This window comes from Homo sapiens, chromosome 9 (genome assembly GCF_000001405.40).
Source record: "Homo sapiens chromosome 9, GRCh38.p14 Primary Assembly".
Lineage (NCBI taxonomy): Eukaryota > Metazoa > Chordata > Mammalia > Primates > Hominidae > Homo > Homo sapiens.
Genome location: NC_000009.12, coordinates 15,284,932 through 15,312,644, shown reverse-complemented (window position 1 = coordinate 15,312,644; position 27,713 = coordinate 15,284,932). Strand labels below are relative to the sequence as shown.

Below are 27,713 nucleotides of genomic sequence, written 5' to 3'. Positions count from 1 at the left end.
TGTTGGCCAGGATAGTCTCAATCTCTTGACCTCATGATCTGCCTGCCTTGGCCTCCCAAAGTGCTGGGATTACAGGCGTGAGCCACTGCGCCCGGCTGGGACTTGGTATTTTTTGAATGGTAAATGAGCATTGGCTTCAATTTAAAGTCATCAGTTGCATTAGTCTCTAATGAGAGAGTCAGCCTATTCTTTGAAGCTTTGAAGTCAGGCCTTGACTTCTCCTCTGTAGCCACAAAAATTCTATGTGGCATCTTCTTCCAATAGAAGGCTGTTTTGTCTACATTGAAAATCTTTTGTTTAGTGTAGCCAACTTCATCAATGATCTGAGCTAGATCTTTTGGATAACTTGCTGCAGCTTCTTCATCAATACTCACTGCCTCACCTTGTACTTTTATGTTTTGGAGATGGCTTCTTTCCTTAAACATCATGAACCAATCTCTGCTAGCTTGCAACTTTTCTTCTACAGCCTTCTCACCTCTCTCAGCCTTCATGGAATTGAAGAGTTAAAGCTTTGCTCTGGATTAGGCTTTGGGTTAAGAGAATGTTGTGGCTGGTTAGATCAGACTACTGCAACTTTCTTAATATCAGCAATAAGGCTGTTTTGCTTTCTTATTATTCATATGTTCACTGGAATAATGGCAAAAGGGCCCATGCCCTAGTTGAGTCATTTTCCTTCAAATAGCCTTCCCGGATGTCAAATGAATTTCATTGGCCAGAATTTAGTTACACTGGCCATTCCTAATTGCAAAGGAGTCCTGAGAAATGTAGTCTTTCAGCTAGGCAGTTGCTCCTATGGATGGAGCTATGGGAGAATGAACAGCAGGTGGCAACAAGCTGCCAATTACCTGTTTATTTTTATTGATATTGCTTTTCTTTTGTTTCTGTCTCTCTCTTTCTCTCTTCTTTCTTTTCTCTATCTCCTCTCTCTTTCTCTCTTTCTTCCTCCCCTTCTCTCTTTCTTTCTTCCTTTCAGATGAGGGTCTTGATATGTTGCCCAGGCTGGACTCAAACTCTTAGACTCAAGTTATCCTCCTCATGCCTTAGCCTCCAGAGTAGCTGGGACTACTGGTGTACCTCCATGCCTGCTTGGTCTGGTTTTTAAATCTTTGACACTCTGCCCTGAGATTGCATATAGCCAAAGTTACTCTTCATGTTGTTGCTCTCTTCTTTGGGTTTTACTTTCTTTGTCTGAAAAAACGATATTAATCAAATTTAAAGAGATATGAAAATCAACAGGAAGGCAATTGGAAAGATTATATATATATATAATATATATTTTGATGTGTGTGTATATATATGTGTGTGCGTGTATATATATATGTGTGTGTGTGTGTGTGTATATATATATATATATATATATATATATATATATATCAAAAAAGTTAACAAACAACTAATAGGTGGGGCAAAATAAATGTTTACCCAGCCCCAAGTGCCTGGAAAAAGGATATTCTGAAGGGAAGATTTCAGCTTCCACTAAATGATGAGGTTTTTCCCCTTAGCATCGCAACCTCTCCCAGGGAGGTGAATTATTCTTCTTAGGTCACTGAGGGACCTCTAAGTGCTTAGCTCTTATGTAACTTTGAAAAACTGAGTAGGCATTAAAGATAATCTTCATGCCTGTTACATTACCCTAGGAAACAATTTACATTTTAGACTACACGTGATTTGCATTCTTTAAATCTCCCTCATTATTACTGGATTATGCTAAAACATTGGCTGCTAGGTCTAAACAATAATGCTTAATGTACTATGAACTTTTTATACTTTCATTCATTCACTCAATAGCCATTTATTAAGTAGTCATTATGTGTTGGGCATTCGGGTTTTTGCTGTAGACACAAAACACAAAGTTCCTTCCCTCATGGAGCTTGTATTATAGTGTGTGTGAGGTGCCATTGTTGAAGGACATACTCATAAACCAGTAAACAAGTGAACGAGAAAGTTCCAGGTAGTGAACAGTGCTATACATACAGCAGGAGGATGTGGTAGAGTGTGACTGAGAGGGAGGGACTGCTTTAGAAGGGGACGTCTTCCTTGAAGAGCTAAGACACGAATGTGAGACAAAGTCACTGACAAACACATGATTTACAATGAGCACTTATTTCATGGATTTGAGCTTCTCCTACCACACAAATCATGAAGATTCAATTTTCACTTAAATCAAGTACCAGCAAAAAACTATCAGCTAAAGGTAACATGTTCAGGAATACTGAAGATTAGATTGTTTACAATATTAGATTTATTTTGAAACACAAACAGCTCCCAGTAGGTGTGGCTTCAAAATGAAATGATTCAGATACCCTCTTGCTTGATCTCTATGCTAATTACTTCTGGGATATGGAATATCTGAGTAATCTCACTTGACTGCTAGAGTATAACATTATCAGCAAACTTGCAAGGGGAATTCTGTGTAAAAACAAATCCATTCTAATTGTTCTTTGAAGAAAAACTTTTATATTTGTGATTCACGATAAAATCACTCTTGTATAGGCAAAGCTGACAGCTGCCCTGAGCAAAGCAAATTTGATTAGACGTTCCAGTGGCTAGAATACATTTATTCATTCAGTGTTTATAATTGAAACATGAATGTTGCTTATCTCCTGCCGTGAATTTAAAACATACGAGACTTCAGGTTTGATCCCTGATATGTAAAAAATTCAACAACAAAAACACCAATCAAGCTTCAATTATAAGTATAGATTTTTGAAAAATTGTACTCGATTTTCATTATAACATAATTCTGTCACTAATTAGAGCGAAGTTTGTTTGGATCTCTTCAAAATTTGAAGAGTTGAAATTCCAAAGGCAGAATAACAGCATATGGGAGAAGAAGCTACCAGTGAGATGGCTTCATGTCAAAAGGATGTGCTATCAATTCAGGAACCAATGAACTTTGAAAAACAGAACCATGCATGAGTAATACAGAGTAGAATCTGGACCTGGATAGGAATTCTAGCCTCAGAAAGTGAAACATAGGAGGAGGTAGGAGTGGGTTGGGGGTCTGGGAAGGAATGGAAACTTTCAAGGGTATTGGAATTAAACAAACTCTATGTCTCTTCTGGTCCATCTGATTCTAAGTGTTCAGAGCATGTGTTCTAAATAATAAAAGTATTATTATTATTATTATTTTTGAGACGGAGTTTCACTCTTTTCACCAGGCTGGAGTGCAATGGCACGATCTCGGCTCACGGCAACCTCCGCCTTCAGGGTTCAAGCAATTCTCCTGCTTCAGTCTCCTCAGTAGCTGGGATTACAGGCGCATACCACCATGCCCAGCTGCTTTTTGTATTTTTAGTAGAGACTGGGTTTCACCATGTTGGTAAGGCTGGTCTCGAACTTCTGACCTCGTGATCCGCTCGCCTCGGTCTCCCAAAGTGTTGGGATTACAGGCATGAGCCACTGCACCTGGAGCTTTTTTATTGAGTACCTGCACTGATGAATAAGATAGTGCCTCCTTCTAAGCAATTTACAGATTAGTGGGAACCCAGGAGGCGGAGGTTGCAGTGAGCCAAGATCGAGCCATTGCACTCCAGCCTGGGAGATGAGAGTGAAACTGTCTCTCAAAAAAAAAAAGTATTATTATTTAGAAATTGGGTCTTGCTATGTTGCTCAGGCTAGTCTCGAACTCCTAAACTCAAGTTAGCCTCCTTCCTCAGTCTCCCAGTGCTGTAATCCCATACAGGCGTGAGCCACCACACCTAGCCTGTGTCAGCTAGTTTTTTTAAAACAGCTTTACTAAGATATAATTTACATAATCATAAGTTCCACCTATTGTAAGTACACAATTCAAGGATTTTTAGACAATTCAGAGAGTTGAGCAACCATCACACGATCTAACCCATTTTTTCAATGTTTCTGCTGTAGAAACCATTTTATTATTCTAGTACAAAAGTACATGCCAAGCCATTAAAATTGTACAGCAAGTATTAAGGATGCAAAGTGACTCACTGAAAATGTATGTAATGGACTTGCACAGACAACTGCTCTACTGACACAGAAAGAAAGAGAGGGAGGGTGGCTAGAGCCAGTACAGTACAAAGCAATGGTTATCAGCTAGGCCCTAGAGTTAGACTGCTGGGGTTCAGATGCTGGCATCCCTACTTACTTAACTGCTGTCTGGCCTCAGGCATATTACTTGAACTCTCTGAGCCTCAGTTTACTCATCTGAAAGAGAACAGCACCCTACTTTATGGGGTTATGAAGAATAAATGAAATACTATATGCAAGAGGTTCAGTAGAGTCCTGGCACATAGTAAGGACTCAAGAACTATTAGCTGTTTTTACAGTTATCACTGGATGACTATTAAATAGCCTTTCATGAGCCAGACATGGAAGACCACATGCTCTAATTAAATTTATATGAAATTCTAGAGAAGGCAAATCGATGTTGATAGCAGATCAGTGATTGACAGAGGCTAGGGAGCGGAGGTAGGAAATTGACAGCAAAGGGTCACAGAAAACTTTTCAGGATGTTCTATATTATGACTGGGATGCTTTGTAAACACTTGTCACTGAATCACACATTTAACTTGGTGCATTTTTCTGTATGTAAAGTAAATCTGACCTCTCTCCCCCAAACTCTTAAAGATCTAGCTTTTAATTTTCCAGTTATTTTACATGTCAGAAGCAAGGTTCAGTTTCTAAACTCAGCCAACAAATATCTGTTGAGCACCTACGATGTGCAAGACACTGTTCTGGGTGTTGGGGATACAGTCTTGAAGAGGACAGATAGCATCCTACCCCCATGGAGTTTATAGTTCAAGCACGAATTATACACCTATGTTTGGAGTTACAAAATACAGGATGCTATGGGGAGAATACACTGTCCGGGTAGGGGGAAGTAGAGGAGTTCCAATATGTATAAATCTCTGTCCCGCGTTTTTTTCTATTTTTTGAACACAGAAGCAAGCAGAGTCCTTCCACCTACAGTCCAGGTGGGTGGTGTGTCAGAGGCCTCTCGGGGACCAGTGACCGTGACCCAAGGCTGCCCTCAGGCCACACCATCTGCGAGATGCGGTGGCCACCTGGCGAGGGAAAAGGACTGGCACCGGACCAAAGACCAGGTGGATGCTTCCACGGACCCCAGGTGGGGCGCTGCTTTGACCTTGGCTTCGTCATGCCCGCGCTCTCTAGCTTCTTTCCAGGTGTGCCCAGCCACCGCAGAGAACAGGCGGCAGGAAAGCTTAGGAAACCCTCCCAGAGGGCGTGCCAGACCGGGAAACTTTATCTGGGAGGTGACTCCACCCACTTGGGCGGGGCTGCCGCCCGCTGGGGGCCGGGCAAGTGGCCCGGCCAGCGGCGCGGCGTCCGGGGAGGAAATGGATGCTGTGCTGGCCTGCCGGCTCCGGGGGCGGGGAAATCGAGTAGCTGCACTCAGGCCCCGCCCGAGACCCGGAGGGAGCGCCGGGCCGTCCCCTTTTGCCCTCCTTTGCGCTGGGCTGAGCCCAGAGCCGAGAGCAGGAGTCGGCTCTGAGTTCCCTGCTTGGTTTTTGGGTGGCAGCAGCCAGAGGAGGAATATGGCGCTCTTAGGCAGCCGAGCGGAGCTGGAAGCGGACGAGGTACGATCCGATGGGGATTGCGGGCCCGGCCCCTGAAGCCCTGGACAGGAGTCCGGGAGAGAAGAGTGAGCCCGGCTAGGACGGCCGAGGCCCCGCCCCCTTGGTCCCCTCTCTGGGGTGGGCTGGCGGGCGCCGGGTGGGGGCGCCCGGCCTTGGTAGGTCTGTCCCCGCTGGAGCTAGGAGGGTCCCTGCGGCGCGCGGAGCGGACGCAGTGCCGAGGTTCGGAGCGCCGGCCCCGCGAGTCGTGGGGATGGAGGACCCACGTCCTGCCAGCACTTGGATGGGCGTGAGGGCGCGGGACCATAGGACCCGCAGCTCTGAGCTGTTCCGGGCCGGCCCAGCGACGCCTGGGCTTTACGAAGTCTGACCCTGAAGTCCTGGCACTGGCTCTCTGGGTGTTCGTGGAATCATCCCTCGACCTGGGAATCTCACCTTCTATGGAAGTTTCCTGGTGGCAGAACCGAAAGGCTTACGATTGATGAAAAGAGGGGGCAGCCTGAGGAACAATGAGTAGAGGGGTACCTGCCGCGACAGCAGGGCAGGGCTGCCAGGGGCTGGGGCTGGAGGGCTAGAGCCGCAGCCCAGGCTGTGGTGCTTCCCTCTCCCTCCACGGGGCCGGGACACTTCCCCTAGCAGGTCCTCAGAGTCGGTGGTGGCCGGAGGGAAACCACTTTGAGAACCGACTCCGGCCTCCTTTGGTTTCAACTGTGTTTGAGTAATTAGCCACTCCTTCAGTCGTGGCGCGCCCGGGCCTGAGCACCCAGGGGCTAGCGCGCCGGACCTGTTGATTTATTGACTATTCATTTCAGCACCTGGCAACTCCAGAGACAGCGCTCTCCCTGCTCTTGAAGTTGAGACCGAGGCTCCAGCAGCAGCCAGCACCCACAGCTGCTGTTCCTGCCATCTTACCTGACTTGAATTGTGCGAGTCGCTGCCTTTAGAAGGCTTTGGTTTCAAATGATGCAATAGTGGACGATCTGGAGGAGGCGGTTAAGTTTCCCGTCCATCTCTTTAGTGCCAGGAATCTCCTGACAAGGAAGACTATACTTTAAATGTGCTCCGTAAAATAAACAAAAAACAAAAACTGAACTACAGCTCCTCTGCATGACAGAGAGACAAGAGGGCAAGCCGGGCTGTCCAGACCCTTGCTTACAGCCTGTCCCTTGCATTGAGGATCCCAAGACTGTAGAATGAAATATTTGAATCCCGATCTGTTTGTAGGAGATTTGCTGTGCTTAGAACTATGTAATTCTCTAGATTAGGGCATTGTTGAGGCGGTGCTATTATTAATTAACACTGGGATAATAGGTGTAAACTGGGACTGTTTCGGAGATACTTTGACAAATGGTCACCCCAGCTATGCTCACTGCCTACTAGATGAACGGTTGAGATGCATTAGCCGATGAGGAGGGAAGTTAGGTTTCTGTGGGTGAAACTCTGGGTGGAAGTTAGGTTTCAGAGTAGCAGAGAGCCTGGCACACAGATACTTGGTAAATAAATATTTGTTGAATGAATGAAAGACTGCAGAAAAGATGTTGCTTAATAACAACTCAGTTTTTGCCATATCATTCATTTATTTTTCTTCATTCATTAACTATTAGGCTTCTGTTACATGCTAGGTACTGTACTAGTCCTAGTTGATGAGCAAAATACAAATTGAATTCTTTGTTCATGCCAAATTTACTTTTGTCCCTCACAGTTTACCACTTCCATTGCTATAAACTGAGCAAGCGTTTATTGAGCATTTACTTTGGGCTCAAACTTGGTAGGTGCCTTAGAGAAGGCATAGTTTTGCCTCTTTATGGTTCTCAGTCTGATTAGGGAGATATGACCTGGGTACAAGAACTCTAAAAAGGAGCTCAAGTAAATGTAAGCAAGTAAGAAGTAGTGTGTTGTAGACTGGATACCCTTGATTTATTTGTAGAAAGTCCCTTACCGTAAATGGGCTTGAAGAACTCTAACCTCGAGTTCATAAGACCCTGCTCTTCAATTTTACTGGGTGCGCAAATAGCTTATTTCAGCTAGGAAGCTTTTCACGTATTTAAGAAGAGTCTGATAGTCTTTATTTGATATTGATAGTTTTTAATGGCCATTATTTGATATTCTGGGGGAGTTAAAAGGGACAAAGTGATATAGTTGGAAAAGTACCAGGTTAGGTTTTTAGGTAACCTGGTTCTTCTCTTTGTTCATCACTTATGTGTGTAAACAGCTGACTAGGTGCCAAGCCCTGTACTAGCCTGGAGGTACAACAGTGAACAAGACAGACAAGGTCCTTCCCATGACTGTTGACCTTGATTGAGCAAGTCTGTCAACCTCAGAGGGCTCTTTCAGTTCCCTTATCTGAAGAAGGAGGGGCTGGATTAGCCCTAAGTGTTCTTCCAGCTCTAAAGATCTGGGTTTTTATTGAGATGGGGGAGAGGGGTCGGGGGGGAGGTTGGGGAAGAGGGAGTTTCTTTTGGGAGAAGGGCTAATAATATGGAAATCTTTTTCTTTAAAAGTACCCAAGGAATGAATGATAATGGTAGAGAAGCTCCCATGGTAGCTGTGGGATGGAGGTTTTCTTGGCTAAATTGATTTTTTAATTTGTGTTTTTTAGGTGCTAGTATGATAAATTCGGGAGCATAGAAGTTAGGACTTGCATCCTCATTGGAGGCAAAAATTGGTTATTGGGGAGCACAAGCATCTTAGATATTATAATGGTGTGTGGCCATTTAAAGCTCAATCAACAAAAGCTTGTTTCTTAATATTTGAATTTCTCTCATTGGGTTTTCTTGTGTATTACACTAGCAACATTGATAATGGATTCATGGAAGATGTACAGAATATATTCAAGGTCAATCCAACAAATTTATAACGTAGAGATGGCTGTGGTTGGAAGACTTTCTCTCTAGTTGCCTGATCTTGAAGTCATTTTAGTTGGTTACCTTCACATACTTATGGGCTACCATTGGGTGCCTTGTGGCTTGCTTATATTTGGCCCTCAAATATAAGGATTTGAGAATTGAATGAAAATCATTTATATTTTATTATTTAATTCAATTAAGATTATTCAGCTCACCAATAATTATCTCAAGTGCCAAAAAGGAAAACATTGACAGTATTTGAATTAATATCTAGCAGCTAATTAAGTTAAAAATTTTCTCATATGAGGCCAGGTGTGGTGGCTCATGCCTGTAATCCCATCACTTTGGGAGGCTGAGGCGGGTGGATCACCTGAGGTCAGGAGTTCGAGACCAGCCTGACCAACATGGTGACACCCAGTCTCTACTAAAAATAACAAAAAAATTAGCTGGGCGTGGTGGCGGGCACCTGTAATCTCAGCTACTTGGGAGGCTGAGGCAGGAGAATCGCTTGAACCTGGGAGGCAGAGGTTGCATGAGCTGAGATCGCACCATTGTACTCCAGCGGGGGCAACAAGAGTAAAACTCCATCTCAGAAAAAAAAAAAAAATTTTTCTCATATGAAACAAAAGTTCACTAAAAATCACTTTTCAACCTGCGTAACGCAGTGAGACCCTGTCTCTACAAAAATAAAAATATGAATAGTTAGCTGGGCATGGTGGTGCCCGCCTGTAGTCCTAAGTTATTCTGGAGGCTGAGGTGGGAGGATCACTTGAGCCTAGGAGGTTGAGGCTGCAGTGAACTCTGATCATGCCACTGCACTCCAGCCTGGGTGACAGACCCCGTTTCAAAAAAAAAAAAAAAATCACTTTTCAGAAAATGATTTTTTCAATAGTTTTACTTTTGCTGGAAAATAACAGTTTTGAATGTTTTTTGAAAAGTTGATTACATTGCTATTATGTAGGTATAGAAATTGATAATTTGTATATATAATTTGATGCATTATATTTAACATTATATTAAAAGTCACTCAGCAAATACAGTTATAAAGTTAAATGTTCATAGATTTTTTTTTTGAGTTGGAGTCTCCCTCTGTTGCCCAGGCTGGAGTGCAGTGGCACAATCTCGGCTCACTGCAACCTCTGCCTCCTGGGTTCAAGCGATTCTGCTGCTTCAGCCTCCCAAGTAGCTGGGACTACATGTGCGTGCCACCACGTCCAGCTAATTTTTGTATTTTTAGTAGAGACGGGGTTTCACCATGTTGGCCAGGATGGTCTCGATCTCTTGACCTCGTGATCCGGCCGCCTCAGCCTCCCAAAGTGCTGGGATTACAGGCATGAGCCACTGCGCCCGGCCAAATGTTCATAGCTTTTTAAACATTTTTTTCTTTTTTTGGTGGGGGATGGAGTTTTGCTCTTGTCATCCAGGCTGGAGTGCAATGGCATGATCTCGGCTCACTGCAACCTCCGCCTCCCGGGTTCAAGCGATTCTCCTGCCTCAGCCTCCCGAGTAGCTTGGATTACAGGCGCCCAACACCATGCCCAGCTAATTTTTGTATTTTTAGTAGAAACAGAGTTTCAGCACGTTGGCCAGGCCGGTCTCGAACTCCTGACCTCAGGTGATCCACCTACCTCGGCCTCTCAAAGTGCTGGGATTACAGGTGTGAGCCACTGCACCGGCTTTTTTTTTTTTTTTTTTTTTTTTGAGACGGAATCTCGCTTTGTCACCCAGATTGGAGTGCAGTGGCGTGATGCATGTGCCACCACACCCGGCTAATTTTTTTGTATTTTTAGTAGAGACGAGGTTTCACCATATTGGCCAGGCTGGTCTCGAACTCCTGACCTTGTGATCCACCCACCTCGACCTCCCAAAGTGCTGGGATTACAGGCGTGAGCCACCGCGCCCGGCCTTTTTTTTAAAGACAGAGTCTTGCTTGGTCACCCAAGCTGGAGTGCAGTGGCATGATCTTGGCTCACTGTAACGTCTGCCTCCCGGGCTCAAGTGATTCTCCTGCCTCAGCCTCCGGAGAAGCTGGAATTGCAGGCGCCCACCACCACATCCAGCTAATTTTTGTATTTTTTTCAGTAGAGATGGGGTTTCACCATGTTGGCCAGGCTGGTCTCAAACTCCTGACCCCAAGTGATCCACCCGCCTTGGCCTCCCAATGTGCTGGGATTACAGGCGTGAGCCACCGTGCCCAACCTTACACTTAACTTTTAAAATATTTATTGAGTCATTCTGATCCTGTTATTGAATTAAAAAAGTAAGCTTTATACTTAGGCTCCTTTGAGGGTTGATAATGAAAAAAATTAAGACACTGACTAGGAAATAAATGGCTTATGTGACATGTTTTTACCGCCTGCTTTTTGGCCCAGGAATTTTTAGATCTAATTCTGATTTGGCTAATTTCTCTTTGGAAGTTTAGATGAAGTTTTGATAAAATTCATTACCACAATTTTCTTTCTTTTCTTCTTCTTTTTTTTTTTTTGAGATGGACTCTCTCTCTGTTGCCCAGGCTGGAGTGCAGTGGCACGATCTCAGCTCACGGCAACCTCTGCCTCCCGGGTTCAAGTGATTCTCCTGCCTCAGTCTCCCGAGTAGCTGGGGTTACAGGCATGCACCACCACGACCATCCAATTTTTTGTATTTTTAATAGAGACGGGGTTTCTCCATGTTGGTCAGGCTGGTCTCAAACTCCTGACTAAAGGTGATTCGCCCACCTGGGCTTTCCAAAGTGCTGGGATTATAGGCGTGAGCCACTGCTCCCAGCTGAGATTTATTCTTTCATTCCACCAACGTTCATTGAACGCCTGGCAGGTCCTAACAGTCTTTAAATGCTGGATGTACACACTAAAACAAGACAGTTATTACCCTTGAGGAGCACAACGTCAAGCAAAACACTTAACACAAGTCACTGTACTATTTCTATCTTTGGGTTAGGGTAGGTTTTAGGTAGGAAGGTCATATAATTTATCATTCAAAGCAGGGCACTCTGAGTAAATGAGCGCTTTCAGTAATTGCACTAAGACAACAGGTACAAACAGGGATGATTGGCTTCCCTTGTTTAGGGTCCGGCAAAGACTTGAAAGGAGAGATGGTATTTGAACTAGGTTTCAAAGGGCAAGTGGGATTGTGTTGGGCTCCCCAGTGGGAAGGCCTTGGGGGAAGTTGAGATGGGCGGGAATAAGAGAGCACTTGGTACAGTGGGAAGGAGAGTGTCAAGGGCAGAAACCAAAAAGGCTGACTTGGGTCGTGAGTCATTGTGTCCTGAATGTCACGCTAAGGAATTTGGGTTGTATCTCCTAAAAAATGGGAACCTGGAAGGTTTTTTTTTTTTTTTTTTTTTTTTTTTGAGACGGAGTTTTACTCTTTCACCCAGGCTGGAGTGAAGTAGTGGGATCTCGGCTCACTGCAACCTCTGCCCCCACAGCCTGGGTTCAACCGATTCTCCTGCCTCAGCGTTCCGAGTAGCTGGGATTACAGGTGCCTGCTACCACGCCCAGCTAATTTTTGTATTTTTAGTAGAGACGGGGTTTCGCCATGTTGGCCAGGCTGCTTTCGAACTCCTGACCTCAGGTGATCCACCTGCCTTGGCCTCCCAAAGTGCTGGGATTACAGGCGTGAGCCACTGCAACCAGCCACATGGAAGGTTTTTGATGAGGCAATTGTTGTAAGATTGCTGATTTTAGGAAGATAAATCTGGTGAAGTGGATGAAGCCAGGATGTGGAGGTGGCAGAAGGAGGACAAAAGGCTGTTGCAACAGTTAGTGTGGAAGATGATGAGTAATGAAGTAGAGTAGAGGCTGTGGCATTGGACAGAAGAGGCCAGAGTTAAAGGATTTCTCAGAACGTGAAAGAGGACTTGACTTGGTGGCCTGTCCCCCAGTTTGAGGGTCAGTGGTGCAGTGAGGGAGGAGCCATTGAGTAATAATTCTGGGTTCCTTGTGTGGCTGGGTAGGGGTGCTGTCCCCTAAGGAGAAGGAGTAGAGTTTATTCCTGTTTCCTTTCAGCTGGGTAGGAGATGGGGAAGGACAGCAAGCAGATGAAACTAACCCCTATGCCTCACTGAATTTTCTGATTGCGGAGCATGGGCCATTTGTTCATGAGGGTATGCATTTGGGCAGAATTAAGAAAGGGTGTTTGTAAATTGGTAATGCAAGTTAGTGGAGGGAAGCAGCATCACTTTACCGTCAGTCCCAACTCCAGCTCAGGTTAACAAACAGACATTCTCCTGAAATGTTTCCTGAAATGTTCAATCTTGAGTCTCTTGAAACCCTGTTTTTTGACAGCTGTTTTTCTAGTGAAACTTTTCCTCCCCCTGTACCTGGATACCCACTTCCTTCCCTTCAAGTCTGGGTAACACATATGCTTCTGCAGACAAGTATCAGTTCTTCCTGTGCTAGCTGCTTGCCTTCTTATCTCAGTTTCCTGCCCATGGGTGCTGTTACCAGTCATTTAGTGTGAATCTGATACTGTGAGTTCAGTGAAGCTCAGAGTTTCCATCTAGCCATCTGTTGACAGCCGACCAATCTCCAGTCTTGGATGCCCCAGTAGCATCTCAGGCGGAGTCTCCTGAAGTTACTTTGTATTCACTTCCCAAAGATGAGTACCTGGGGACTCCTGTGGGTGCTTTTGAGGCTTCCTGGGGGAGAGATTTTCCTTTTTTGAGCCTCCCATTGGCCACCACCTTAGTCAGCACTCTCCTTTTCTCCCCCTGTGCTTCGTGGATCTGTGCTGCCTCCTGATGCACCAAGTCCGTTTATACCCAGAGCCACCGCGGCCAGTTGCTGTATTGGTGATGTCATCACACCTCTCTAAAGGGACTTCTGAAGTGGGGAGTGCCTGGCAGTTCCTAATGCCATCATGCATCTTCAGCTCTTTATTTAAAGACTAGGTGTGTAGTAAATGCTTTTTGTTGTGATCTGTGGATGTGTCCCCTTGGTACTGCTGATATTATGCTGTCATATACATAGGGCCTACGTATTTTAAAATATTTTGGTGAAATGATACATTGTATGTTTGTTGGATCTGAAGGTAACTAGTGAGTGACAATTTTCAGTCTGACTTAATGTGTTGAGTATTGTGTTAGGTGCTGGACAAGCAAATGCAGCTCCTGCCTCAGGTTATGGTCTAGTGGAGAGTGGGGACATGTGTGTTCTGAGAACCACCTGGTGGAGGAGGGATGCCAGGGTACTTTGTGAGCACAGAGGAGGGCACCTCTCCTGGGAGAGAGGGTAGTCAGGAATGATTTCCTGGAGGAGGCCATTTCTTAGACATTCTGAGTCAAGAAGAATGAGTAGGGGTTAGCCATGGAGAAGTGATGTGGGGAAGGGGGAGCTCTTGAAGTGTCTTCCAGGAGAGGGAATAGCGGGATAAGGTGCAGAGGTGAGGAAGATCCTGTGGTGCTCTGGACAGGTGGAGTGTCAGGAATCAAGGCTGGAAGGGTACTTTGTTAGTTCTCCAGAGAAATGGGACATAATATATAGATAGATGAGAGGGGATTTATTATGGGAGTTGTCTCACATGATTATTGATATGGTTTGGCTGTGTTCCCACCCACATCTCATCTTGAGTCATAGCTCACATAATCCCCACGTGTCATGGGTGGGACCCAGTAGGAGGTAATTGAATCATGGGGGTGGGTTTTCCCATGCTCTTCTTGTGACAGTGAATAAGTCTCATGGGATCTGATGTTTTCATAAAGGGCAGTTTCCCCGCACACACTCTCTTGCCTGCTGCCATGTAAGATGTGCCTTTGCTCCTCCTTCATCTTTCACCATGATTTTGAGGCTTTCCCAGCCGTGTGGAAATGTGAGTCCATTAAACCTCTTTTTCTTTATAAATTATGCAGTCTTGGGTATTTCTTCACAGCAGTATGAAAATGGACTAATACAATTATGGAGCGTGAGAAGCCCTACCATATGCTGTCTGCAAGCTGGAGAGCTGCAGAGGCTGGTAGCGTGGCTCAGTCCAAGCACAGAGGCCTCAAAACCATGGAAGCTGATGGTATAACTCAGTCTGAGGATGAAGGCTTCAGAACCTGGGGGACTACAGGTGCAAGTTCTGGAGACCGAATGCTGGAGAACCTTGAGTTCTGATGTCCAAGAGAAGGAGAAAAAGGACTTCCCAGCTCCAGAAGAGGGAAAAAGCAAATTTGGCTTTCCTCTGTCTTCTTGTTCTATCTGGGTCCTCTGCTGAGTGGATGGTACCCAAAACTTTGGGTGAGGGTAGGTCTTCCTTACCCTGTTCATGGATTCAAATGCCAGTCTCTTCTGGAAACACTCTCCCAGACATACCCATAAATAAAATCTTTACCTGTTCTCTCTATCTGGGTATCCCTTAATCCAGTCAACTTGACACCTAAAATTAACCATCACAGGTAAGAAGGGCCGTTCAGAGACTTTCATGTCAGATTGTGGAGATCATGGTGTGCATCTGCGGGTTTCAGTGAGGAGTGGTGGGGAGCAAGCAGTATTTTAGGTGGCTCCCTGGCAAGGCGTGGAGGCTGATTGGAGGTAGACAAGCCCAGAGTGACGGAGGCTGGTGTTTTGTTTTGTTTGTTGAATGATTATTGGGACTCACTGACGACCCAAGGGTACCTAATAATTAAGGCAACATGATGGGTAAGATATGGTGTGGATCCCTCTGAAAAAGGCAGTTAGAAATATGGACACAGACAGCTGTAACCTGGAGTGCAGGGTAGAGTCTAGAGAGGGTTCAAGTGTCCTGTGCTCCAAGGAGAAGAGGGCTGTCACAGGGTGGTCCACCTGGACATTCTCTCTCCTGCCTGCTGCCCACCCCACCTGCTGACTTGTTTCCAGACCAAGTCTTTACTGACTAGCTGTGTGACTTAGAGCAAGTCCCTTAATGTTTTTGAGCCTTGTTTTCCTCATAGGCGACACGAAGGAGTTGAAACTGATGATCTGTCTGTAAAAGTTCCTTTGAGTTTTTGACATGTGTCTTCTAGAAGGTGACATTCGACCTGGGCTTCATGAGGTGGAATTTCAGCAGGCAGCAAGGGAGGAGATCACCCCTCATTCCTTCAGGCAGAGGGAACAGCAGGGGAACTGCGCTCCTCAGGCGTGGTGAAGTAGGCTGGAGGCCATGTGGTTGGAGCACAGTATATGCCCCCTTTAAGTGATTAATGCAGGAGAGCTGCTGTGAGTGTGTTCCAGCCAGATTGATCAGAATCTGGCCTTGAATGCTTAGCTACCGAGTTTGGCTTTTCTTTTTTCTTTTCTTTTCTTTTTTCTTAAAGAGACAGGGTCTTGCTCTGTCACACAGGCTAGATTAGAGTGGTGTGATCATGGCTTACTGCAGACTTGACCCCCTGGGCTCAAGGGATCCTCTTGGCTCGCATGATCCCCCAGCCTTGGCCTCTCAAAGTGCTGAGACTACAGGCATAAGCCACCATGCCTGGCCCTGCCTTTTAAAAAAATTTGCTTTTGGCCAGGCGCAGTGGCTCATGTCTGTAATCCCAGCACTTTGGGAGGCCGAGGCAGGGGGGTATCACCTGAGATCAGGAATTTGAGACCAGCCTGGCCACCATGGTGAAACCCAGTCTCTATTAAAAATACAAAAATTTGCTGGGCATGGTGGCATATGCCTGTAATCCCAGCTACTCGGGAGGCTGAGGCAGGAGAATTGCTTGAACCTGGGAGGCGGAGATTGCAGTGAGCCGAGATTGAGCTATTGAGCTCCAGCCTAGGCAAAAAGAGTGAAATTCCTTCTCAAAAAAAAAATTGCTTTTTTTGACAGTGGAGACACACATGCACCCTTCTGTATTTGGGGAATATTTTTGCTTTTCTTCTTCTTTTGGGGTAAAGGAAGCAACAATAATGATTTCCATTTGTTTGGTTTCACTTTCCCTTTCCCAACCCCATTTCTAAGGTACAGTTTTAAACGGATGCCTGTAAACTGAAATGCAGTGGGTGGTTAAGGAGACAGACAAGGTCAGAGGCACTTGGGTAATTTCACAGGTTTATATTTCATCACATAGACTTTTACCTTCGGACTAAGTTCTGAGATAGAAAACCAACTTGAGCCACGGTGCTCGTGTGGGCAGCAGGACCAGTCACAGCTTCTTTGAGGAAATGCTTGGTCCTCCTTTTTTCCCTCCCTGTTTTCTCAGACCACTTTGTCCTGGCATTCTGGACAACCATGAGTCACAGTCCTTACACTCAGAACCAAAGGAAACAAACCTCAGAGTCTCACATTGTTTTTCAGACCAAATGGAGTATTATCTTTTTGAGAGGAGGTAGACAAGACAGATGAGGACAGAGAGGGAGAGTCCTCAAGAGGGGGAAGTGAGGCCTGACTCCAAAATCCTCCCCCAAAAGTACTCATATGTCACCCCCTGTGCAGAATCATCAATCAAGGGCTCATTGACCCATACCAGGTCCTCCATGTGCAGAGCAGCACTGAGTTTCTGAGAGAGTGGCCAGCTGGGCTTAGATTCTGGCTTCCCATTTCCTCTCTGACTTTGAACATGTGATTTCACTTCTGACATTCTTCATTTATGAAGGATGAAGTCAGATTATATTTTATAAAGCACCTGACACATAGAAGGTACTACTAAAATGCAAATTTACTTTCTCTTTATGCTTTTAAAGTCTTGCTGCTACTGGTTCATTATCTATGGATTTAATGAAGAATCTGCAGCTAACATTTCAGTATGTTGAAATATATTTTTACCTTATTTTTGCAGTCAATTGAAAAGAGAATTCTACAGAAGAAGCAGAAGGGAAGTGATTGGCCCGAGGTCACTCAGCTGGCTTAGGCACAGAATCAGGGTTAGAAGCTAGATTCCCTAACTCTAAACCCTTTGCCCTTTACACTAGGTCAAGCAGCCACAAACTTCTCAAACTTGACTAAGAGGTTAAATGCAGCCTGCCCACCTCCTGCCTATTTTTGTAAATAAAGTTTAATTGGAGCACAGCCATACCCATTTGTTTAGGTGTTGCCTATGGCTACTTTTGCCCTACTGTGGTACAGTTGGGAAACAGATGTGTGGCTCACACAGCCTAAATATTTATATGCCTTTTATGGAGGAAGTTTGCTGACCCTGGTACTAGGTGGTCAGCAAACTTCTGACCTTCTGGGGTGTTTAAGTTTGTTTGTAATGTATTGTAAGCCTTATGAATTAAATGTGCTTGTTTCCTTCATGTGCATGTAAGCATCAAAAAATAGGAAAAATAGAAAATTACTTGACACATCCCATTAATTGGTTTGGTTGTAAGTTCTGGAGTCAGTTGGACGTGGGCTTGAATCCCTGCTCCTCCATGTATAACCTGGGATAAGTTAACTCAATCTATCTATTCCATATTCACCAGAGAAATGGCGATAATAGAACCTGTTGTGAGGGTTCAGGGAGGCCTATGCAGCGCTTATCGTGGGGGGCCCAGAAGTTGGCTTGTGGCATTGTCAAGGCTGCACTCTGTGGCTGCTCACAGGCATTGTGTAAAGATTGGCCCAGCCAGAGTCTTGCAGAAAAACCTTCCTCTGTGATGGAGTCCTGTAGGATAAATAAGTCACCTCTCAGGCTAATACCCAGGACTCCAGCTGGGAAATTCTTCAAGTTTACATCCTCCCACCTTTCCTTTCCTTTCCTGAGTGGGAGGGGAAACCACTTCACACAAAAGAGAGCAGTAAACAGGGGCTCAAAGGGCCATCTGTTCCAGCTCTATCTAAAACTGAAAAGTGTTAATATTTGTCAGCAAGGGAGGTGATAATGCCAGCAATATTTTGGAAACAGCATTTGGTCGCTGACACATAAATGGTGTTGTAACCTTTGTTTTCTCCAAACATTTTGGTCAATGTCATAAAGTTCTTACAGGGTTTTCAGGTAGCACCTAGATGTTGGTAGGAGACTATGGCCTGTAAAAGGTATGTTTGTGTTCAGTTACTGAACGTAAGAGGCTAAAAGGTAAAGGAAGTAAGAGTGTGCAAGCATTCCTGAGCCCTGGAGGGACTCTAGGGTTCTTGCTGTGCCCTAAAGCAGTGTACTGCGCTAGACTGCTTTTTTTTTTTCCAGCTGCTAGCAGCTGACAATAGACTGCTCTTTCTAAAATGCAAGTCCATTTTCGCCTTGCCTCTTAAAATCTGTGCACAGCTTCTCATTGCCTTTAAAGTAACATGCAAATACCTTAGCATGACATATGATAAAAACTTCAGCAGAATTAAATTTAAAGGAGTTCAATTGAGCAATGAAAGATTCGTGAATCAGTCGATCTCTGGAGCCAGAGCAGGCTCGGAGACTGCAGTGCAGCCATGTGGTGGAAGAAGATTTATGGACAGAGAAAGGAAAGTGACGTGCAGAAAACGGAAGTGAGGTACAGAGACAGCTGGATTGGTTACAGCCCACAGTTTGCTTTATTTGAACACGGTTCCAACCGTTGGCTACATTTGATGGACCAAAACTCGGTGATTGGCACAAGTGTAGGTAAGGTCTGTTTACACCTCCACTTGTAGCTCACGATGTACAGAGAAACCTTTAGGCCAAACTTAAAATATGTAAGGAGGCAGCTTTAGGCTAAACTTGATTTAACACATGTAAGGCCTTTCTTAGCATCTTCCTAAGTGGTTCTCATATTTTAGTGTGCATAGAAATCACCTGGCTGGGGTACAGGTGGCCTGTTACAATGCACATCCCTGTGTCTCACCGCCAGCGATTCTTGCTCAGTAGGTCCTAGGATCTTGCATTCCTAACATGGACTTTTAACATCAGCCATTCTGATGTGCTTGTGGTTTCTTTTCTCATGCCCAATTTCCTAAAAGGTGGTCATTTCTTCCCAACTTTTTCATACACTGTTCCCCCACCTGGACAATTCTTTTGAATCATTTCAGACCTCCCTCAGGTACCAGCCCACCTCCAGGTGCTCAGCAACTAGTTATATGTCATTACATGAGTATATGCTCTCTGAGAAATGTGTTATGAGGCAATGTCATCATTGTGCCAGCATCATAGTGCACTTACACAATCCTAGATGGTACAGCCTACTACACACCTAGGCTCTCTGGCATGGCCTATTGCTCCCAGGTTACAAGCCTGTACAACATGTTACTGTACTGAATACTGTAGGCCATTATAACACAATGGTATTTGTGTATCTAAACATAGAAAAGGCACAGTAAAATGTGGTATACAATATAAAAAACAGTACACCTGTATAGGGCACTTACCATGAATGGAGCTTGCAGGACTGGAAGTTGCTCTGGGTGAGTCAGTGAGTGAGTGGTGAGTGAATGTGAAGGCCTAGGACATTATTACACATTAGTATAGACTTTATGAACACTGTACACTTAAGCTGCACCACATTTATGTTTTTTCTTTAATAATAAACCTTTGATTAATGGAACTTTTTTGCTTTATGAACTTTTAAATTCTTTAAAACTTTTTGGCACTTTTACAATAACACTTAGCTTAAAACACAAACACACTGTACAGCTATACAAAATATTTTCTTTATATCCTTATTCAAGCTTTTTTCTATTTTAAAAGTTTTTTACTCTTACTTGTAAACTTTTTTTAAGAACTAAGACATAAACACACAGATTAGCCTGGGCCTACATAGGGTAAGGATCACCAATGTCACAGTCTTCAGGGGCAGTAACATGGCTGGAGCTGTCATCTCCTATGACAACAATGCCGTCTTCTGAAATACCTCCTGAAGGACCTGCCTGAGGCTGTTTTAGAGTTAACTCTTCTTTTTTTAATAGGTAGAAGGAGAAGGGTACCCTCTAAAATCACGATTAATAGTACAGTATAATAAATACATAAACCAGTAACAGTTGTTTTTATTGTTCTGTACTATACATAATTGTATGTGCTATACTTTTATATAACTGTTGGTGCAGTAGGTTTGTTTATACCGGCATCACCACAAATATGTAGGTAACTCATTGCACTGTGTGTTATAATGGCTGTGACTAGGCGACAGGAACTTTTTAGCTCCACTCCAATCTTATGGGACCACCGTGGTGTATGTGGTCCATCATTGACCTGTTGTAGTTACACGGCTTTTGTCTGTATTTAGCATTCCTGGCTGCCTTGAGAAGAACTATTCCTTCTTTGGCATACATGCTGTGGCATCCAACAGGAATGGGATGTGGGCATTAACTATGATTCTTTCCTGTCTGTAAAATTCTAGCCTTATGAATGTACTTACAAAAAGTAAACTTTACACATATTTGCTAATTAAGTTAATGGCCACGAATAAGGATTTAAAGGGTGCCAGGCACTGAGGCACCAGGCTGCACTCAGCAACTGTGAAGCAGGCATTAGAATTCCCATTTGATTGATCAGGAGACTGAAGCTCACAGAGAGGTTAAGTTACTTGATCAAAGGCACATTGGCAGCAAGTGGCAGAACTCCACTGTGTCTGCTGCCTTGCAAGCTTGCCCATGTTCTTTCCTCTTTCCCGCATGCCTTGCTAGGAACAGATACCACAAATCTGAAATTCAGGTGTGTCAGGGAAGAGGCTGATTTTTTTTTTTAATTCTTTGTCCTACTTGAGACTTTGGATCCAGTGACGGTCCCTTTTGTTCAACTGGTAATGGCTTAAAAGTGCAACTGTTTGTGCATCCTTCTAGCAGGAACTTAAACATGTTGGATAAATAGCAGCTGTCTTAAGGAATGAATAGAAAATCAGGAAAAGTCATCATCCATATGAACTCTACATATCATCTGCTTTCTTGCAAATTGTATTAATCCGTTCTCATGCTGCTGATAAAGACATACCTGAGACTGGGCAATTTATGAAAGAAAGAGGTTTAATGGACTTACAGTTCACTGTGGCTGGGGAGGCCTCACCATCATCGCAGATGGCAAGGAGGAGCAAGTCACGTCTCACGTGCATGGCAGCAGGCAAAGAGAGAGCTTGTACAGGGAAACTTCCATTTTTAAAACCATCAGATCTCATGAGACTTATTCACCATCACGAGAATAGCACAGAAAAGACTTGCCCTGGTGATTCAATTCCCTCCCACTGGGTCCCTCCCACAGCGCATGGGAGTTGTGGGAGATACAATTCAAGATGAGATTTGGGTGGGGACACAGCCAAACCATATCACAAATGGAACAAATTATTCATGTGGACAATGTGTTTCCACAAGAGAGGGTGGCCCTTCTTCACCATAGAAAGCAGCAAAGGAATTCCTTTAATGCTGTCTAACAATGTGAGAGTTTTATCCTCTCAGGAGGGAGACTTTACCTCGGTAATCCATTAGCATTATCTCAATACACTTAAACACGCCCAGCTTTATTAAGGTGTGCTTTGCATTACTCCTTTTACGTATAACCCAAAAAATGTCTGAGACAGATCTCAATTTAGAGGTTTATTTTGCCAAGATAGAGGATACGCCTGGGAAGGAGACACAGTTGCAGTAGGATCTGTGCCCTGTGCATTTTCCAAAGACGATTTTGAGGAGTTCAACATTTAAAGGGGAGAGTGGCAGAAGGGGAAAGCAGGAAAGAAAAAAAAGAGGTAGATATGCAGTGAGGTAAGGGGTCACATTCTTGTGAGGCTTTGATTAGCGTTCACTGGATCCACATGTTACATGTGAAAGGAGGGAGTAGAGGAACAGTCAGTTATGCATTCTGCATTTTAAATCTGCATTTTACGTAAAACAAAGTAAACATAGAGTAGAGGAAGACGTCAAACGTGCATTTGTCTCTGGGTGGATGGTAGGATGACTTCTAGTCTTGTCTTTGTCCCATACCTGTGAAGATAAGTTGTTAAGTTATATTTTCAGGGTGAGATTGAACAGAACTCTGTTTTATGGTAAAGATTCTGGGGCCCACAAGGCATTTCCTTGTGAGCAATTTGTGAAGGAGACCACCTGGGGAGATAGGTGGCCTTCTATCATTGCAGCTATCTGTTTAGGAACAGAAGGGAGGAAGTTTTTGTGTGACTCAGTTCCCAAGCTTAAATTTTCTCTTTGGCATGATGAGTTTAGGTCCCGAGATTTTATTTTCCTTTAATGTAAGTGTTCAAGTCAGTGGATTTTTAGTAAATTTACAGAGTTGCATAGCCATCACCACAATCCAATTTAAGAACATTTCTATCATCCTATAAGGATTTCTCTAACCATTTTTTTCTCACTTTAGTACACTTGTAATACTTAAAATAATTAAAAAATTAAAAATCACCAGGAGAAAGTAAAGTTTCCCAGACAGAAATAAAAATGAGCAGTCATTATATATGATTAGGATAAAGCACAAGTGTTAGGTGTCACAAATCAAGACCGGGAGAGCACGGGTGCTTTTGGGTCAGTGTTTGGCTTTGGCTCTCACACTGGACATCATCAGGGGGGTCAAGGGCTGTATGAATTACTCCTGCCCACATGAATAATTTGTTCCACTTGCAAGAAAGCAGATGATATGTAGTTCATATGGATGATGACTTTTCCTGATTTTCTATTCATTCCTTAAGGCAGCTGCTATTTGTCCAACATGTTTAGGTTCCTGCTGGAAGTATGCAAAACAGTTGCATTTCTAAGCCATTACGAGTGAACAAAAGGAAATATCACTGGATCCAAAGTCTCAAGTAGGACAAAGAATAAAAAAAAATCAGCCTCTTTCCCGGCATACCTGAATTTCAGATTTGTGGTATCTGTTCCTAGCAAGACATGTGCGAGAGAGGAAAGAATATAGGTAGGCTTGCGAGGTAGCAGACACATGGAGTTCTGCCATTTGCCGGCATTGTGCCTTTGAGCAAGTAACTTAACCTCTCTGTGAGCTTCAGTCTCCTGACCAAGCAAATGGGGATTCTAATGTCTGCCTCATAGTGGCTGTGTGCAGCTCTGGTGCCTCAGTGCCTGGCATACTTTAAATACTTATTTGCATCCATTAATTTAATTAGCATTTGTGTATAAAGTTTACTTTTTGTAAGTACATTCATATGACTAGAGTTTTACAGAGCAGGAAAGAATCATAATAAGATTATTTAAAATACTGCAACTAGCCATATTGAACATTTTGGTATTAAATATTCATTTACTGATAGTCATTTTATTTTTGGGAGGAAAGGTTTTGTTTTTATTTTAAAATACCAACACTGGTAAATGTCCTTTTGGAGGACTGGCTGAAGCCAGGTAACCAAGGGCAAGGCACTTTGAGCCACAGTTTCCTCACTTATACAGTGGGGCTAAATGATATAATGTATGCAACTTGCTACCTGGGGTAGATAAGGAACATTCACAAAAATAAGGATAATTATACTTTAAAAGCGTGTAATTAAGTGCTCCTAGAGGTCTGGGGTGTTCACATTTCTAACAACTTGCTTATTTAGTAATAATAGCCTATGAGAGTTCCCTGACTCCCCTCATGGGATGTGTGACTGGGTGTGGCTTGTCTGTTCGGCTGCCATGCATGCTCAAACCCCTTATGGGTGGGGGAGCACAAAGATGGGCAGGTGCAGAAGCTGGGGCAAGTGCCCCTGGGCTCCGGCCTCACGGCAGCATCCAGGGGTGGGTGTCTGTGACTCCCAAAGCCCAAGTGGCATGTGTTGTGTTACAGTGCGCTCTTTTAACCTTGCCATCCGTGGATGGCTTAAGTGTTAACCAGCATAGTGTCCTCTTGGTACCCAGGCCCTTGTCCAGTGTCCAGGAAGAATCAGGTTGCACATGGACTTGAAGGATGAATGTGGGGGCTTTATTGAATGGTGGAGGTGGCTCTCAGTGGGATGAATGGGGAGCTGGAAGGGGGATGGAGTGGGAAGATGATCTTCCCCTGGAGTGTGGTTGTCCAGCAGCCAATCTCCTCTCCAACCATCCCCAGCTGAACTCCTCTCGACGACATTCAGATACTCCTTCTCTTCTCTTTGCTGTGCCATTCTGCCATTCTTCTGCTCTTCTGTTCATTTCCTTGTGGAGCCGGGGTTTTGGCGTTTATATGGGTACAGGATAGGGGATGTGGTGGGCCGAAAGATAACTTTTGGGTGCAAAACCAGGAATGCCCATTCTCATTTAGGGCTGCGGGTTTCCAGGCCTGAGAATGGGGCCTTTGCTGGGGAACTGCTCTCTTCTATCCAGTATTTCCCTGTCTCCTGTCCATATCATATGGATGTATTGGTATTTCTCACAACTTTGATAGAAAACATTGAGATTCTTGGTATGCTTTTTCATCTGGCAATCTATCAAAATGTAGTTTGATTTCACAAATGGTAGAAATGACTTTATTAAGGTGTCGGGTTCCATAAGCTTAATTGTATAGCTAATTATATTTGAAATTTACAAAGGAAAGGTACTAGCTTAGAAAGAATCATTTTTTTATGTTTTTTTTTTTTTTTTTTTTTTTTGAGATGGAGTCTCGCCCTGTCGCCCAGGCTGGAGTGCAGTGGCGCCATATCGGCTCACTGCAAGCTCCGCCTCCTGGGTTCACGCCATTCTCCTGCCTCAGCTTCCCGAGTAGCTGGGACTACAGGCCCATGCCACCATGCCCGGCTAATTTTTGTATTTTTTAGTAGAGAAGGGGTTTCACCGTGTTAGCCAAGATGGTCTCAATCTCCTGACCTTGTGAGCCACTGCGCCCAGCCAGAAAGAATCATTTTTTTTTCCCTAAAGGTTTTCTTGTCTTTACCTCCCTTTACAGTTTATGGCAGAGGAGCTTACATTTTAACTTAAATGAAGGTGCCCCTGTTTGATATATGCAAGTCCAGTCCAAGAGGGTACTTCAGGTCTGTAAGCTCCGGGAAGCGAGTACCACATGGCAATAGATTAGGCTCTGACATTTTAAGACAGAGGGACATGTGACATGCCTAATGAACTCTTATCTCTTTGTTAAAGACCACAAAGCATTCCATTTCAACTGTGGCAATTGGAGACAATCATCTCTTCCGTAACTCTGTTACGACTGACCTGTTCTGTTGTCTCTAGCTGTTTCTCAGCTTTCTTAATTTTGGCAGTTCTTTATTTTCAGATTGACCATTCAGCTTTGTCAGATGTCACTATAGATTTCTCTCCCTCTCTCTTAATGAGAAATGATTTTAAGAGATAGTGTTTTAGCCATGTACGCTATTATTGTCATACAAATACTGATGGCCCTTTGGGCTCCCCTCCAAGCATTTAGAGCAAAGAGTAAACAGATCAATTAAGATTTAGTAATGAAACTCAGCTTTAGAGAATGGCAAATCAAGCAGACCCCCAATATCCTCATTTTAATAAAGTCCATTTTGGAATGAAAAAGAATTAGAAAAATAATTTAGTCTTATTGCTGAAGTTTAGCTATTCCTTAGCCTTCTAAGATTCCTTGACAAAACAGAATTCTCATAATAAGCTAGTTCTAGGTATTAGAATTTTCTGAGATGGGATAAATTGTGAGAAATTTAAAAGTTCCCCAGGTCAAATTTGGGACAATTTGAGCAACAAAATAATTAAGAACAGTGGAGTATTACGGGCCATAGAAAGTAATAGGAATCCTTGAGTGCATATGGATGATAAAGAAATAACTAGATAGCTAAATGAGGGAGATGGAAGACTTTTGCTTTAGTAGAATGCCAGAGACAGATTGGCAGGAATGGAAGGAGTGCTGAGGTTGGAAGCTCAGTTTCAGCGTCATTGTAAATAATGAGTCAGGCAGTACCACCCTAGGTGCTAAATCTAGGGGTACTTTGGGTGAGGAACATGATGTTTACCTATCTTACACTATCTCACCGGAGACTTCTTATTAGTTGCAAGACAAATACAGTAACTATGCAGTGGAGAAATAGGACAACACCTTGACCAGGTGACCAAAATTAACATCACAGGTGGAAGGAGATGAACATCTGTGCCTCTGGATATAAATGCCCTTAGGAGGACACTGTCTGTTCTGTAGTCGTCTAACCTGACTCGAATCACAAGGAAACATCAGAGAAGCTTTAAATGAGGAACAGGAAGATACTACTGTTTAAAAGAGAGAAAGGCTGTAGTCTCCAAGACTGCTGGTATCATAAAACATAAGGGCTGTGAAAATGTTTCAGATTAAAGGAGGCTAAAGAGTTGTGACTGCCAGATGTGAAAGCTGAGCCTAGACTGATTCCTGTTCTGTAGGGGAGAAAATGCTGTGAAGGACATTGCTGGGTCAGTTGACAGAATTGGATTGTGGGCAATAGTGTAAAGTAGTTTAATTTATGCAAGTAGAGAACTCCACTGTGGCCATGTAAGAGGATATCCTTATTTTTAGGAAACATGCACTGAAGTATTTAGAGGTAAAGGACCACAGGGTTTACAATTCGCTCTCAAATGGTTCAGGAAAAAAATACTGTTTGGCTAGATTGATTGATCGATAGGAAGGGAAAAGGAGGTGGAGAGGGTGAGAAAGCAGATTATAAGCAGATGGGGCAAAGTGTTCACAATAGATAAATTTGGTAAATGGCACACAGGTGTCCTTTGTATATTCTTTTTTTTTTGAGACGGAATCTCGTTCTGTCCCCTGGGCTGGAGTGCAGTCACGCGATCTCGGCTCACTGCAAGCTCCGCCTCCCGGGTTCACGCCATTCTCCTGCCTCAGCCTCCTGAGTAGCTGGGACTACAGGCGCCCGCCACCAAGCCCGGCTAATTTTTTTGTATTTTTAGTAGAGACGGGGTTTCATCGTGTTAGCCAGGATGGTCTCCATCTCCTGACCTCGTGATCCGCCCGCCTCGGCCTCCCGAAGTGCAGGGATTACAGGCGTGAGCCACCGCTCCCGGCCTGTATATTCTTTTAAAAATTAAAACAATTCTTAATTATGGGTACATAATAGGCGTATACATTTATACGGTACATGTGATATTTTGCTACAGGCATACAATGTGTAGTAATCACATCAGGGTAATTGGGGTATCTATTACTTCAAGCATTTATCATTTCGTTGTGTGTATATTCTTATTCTGGCAACTTTTTGGTAAGTTTGAACTTATTTCTAAATAAAAAGTTTTTAAAAAGTTGTCTAGAGACTGAAAGTAAACAAACAAATACACTGGGCATGAAAGGATCTTTTTTTTTTTTTTCTTTTTGAGACGGAGTCTTGCTCTGTCGCCCAGGCTGGAGTGCAGTGGCGTGATCTCGGCTCACTGCAAACTCCGCCTCCCGGGTTCACGCCATTCTCCTGCCTCAGCCCCCGCCCCGAGTAGCTGGGACTACAGGCGCCCGCCACCACGCCCGGCTGATTTTGTTTTTGTATTTTGAGTAGAGACGGGGTTTCACCGTGTTAGCCAGGATGGTCTCGATTTCCTGACCTCGTGATCCGCTCGCCTCGGCCTCCCAAAGTGCTGGGATTACAGGTGTGAGCCACCGAGCTCGGCCGAAAGGATCTTAGTTATAAAACAAATTTAGCTGAAATGTTGTCTTACC

General features: G+C 44.0%; 1 protein-coding gene across 7 annotated transcripts in view, besides 6 other annotated features; it reads left to right on the top strand.

The window, feature by feature from the left end:
* Positions 5,102–5,664: an enhancer, noted in NCBI's record as "H3K27ac-H3K4me1 hESC enhancer chr9:15306979-15307541 (GRCh37/hg19 assembly coordinates)". NCBI's record gives its function as "activates a minimal SCP1, AML or CMV promoter by ChIP-STARR-seq in primed H9 embryonic stem cells {active_cell/tissue: H9 hESC(primed)}" and the evidence as "EXISTENCE:reporter gene assay evidence [ECO:0000049][PMID:30033119]".
* Positions 5,102–5,864: a biological region, named in NCBI's record as "H3K27ac-H3K4me1 hESC enhancer GRCh37_chr9:15306979-15307541".
* Positions 5,175–5,514: a silencer, noted in NCBI's record as "silent region_19779". NCBI's record gives its function as "represses an Ori minimal core promoter by ATAC-STARR-seq in GM12878 lymphoblastoid cells {active_cell/tissue: GM12878}" and the evidence as "EXISTENCE:reporter gene assay evidence [ECO:0000049][PMID:35858748]".
* TTC39B (tetratricopeptide repeat domain 39B) overlaps positions 5,429–27,713 on the top strand; it is a 143,595-nt gene continuing 121,310 nt past the window's right edge. For 6 of the 7 annotated variants that reach the window (XM_047422829.1, NM_001168341.2, NM_001168339.2 and 3 more), the window contains exon 1: positions 5,429–5,561. Coding sequence is in view for 5 of the 7 variants with exons in the window: in NM_001168341.2 (NP_001161813.2) it covers positions 5,520–5,561 (42 nt within the window). In the remaining 2 variants the exon portion in view is untranslated. Of the gene's footprint in view, positions 5,562–12,883; positions 13,296–27,713 lie in introns of those variants that run through there. The other variant, XM_024447422.2, reaches the window with a different exon arrangement.
* Positions 5,545–5,864: a silencer, noted in NCBI's record as "silent region_19778". NCBI's record gives its function as "represses an Ori minimal core promoter by ATAC-STARR-seq in GM12878 lymphoblastoid cells {active_cell/tissue: GM12878}" and the evidence as "EXISTENCE:reporter gene assay evidence [ECO:0000049][PMID:35858748]".
* Positions 6,228–6,791: an enhancer, noted in NCBI's record as "H3K27ac-H3K4me1 hESC enhancer chr9:15305852-15306415 (GRCh37/hg19 assembly coordinates)". NCBI's record gives its function as "activates a minimal SCP1, AML or CMV promoter by ChIP-STARR-seq in primed H9 embryonic stem cells {active_cell/tissue: H9 hESC(primed)}" and the evidence as "EXISTENCE:reporter gene assay evidence [ECO:0000049][PMID:30033119]".
* Positions 7,746–7,815: a silencer, noted in NCBI's record as "silent region_19777". NCBI's record gives its function as "represses an Ori minimal core promoter by ATAC-STARR-seq in GM12878 lymphoblastoid cells {active_cell/tissue: GM12878}" and the evidence as "EXISTENCE:reporter gene assay evidence [ECO:0000049][PMID:35858748]".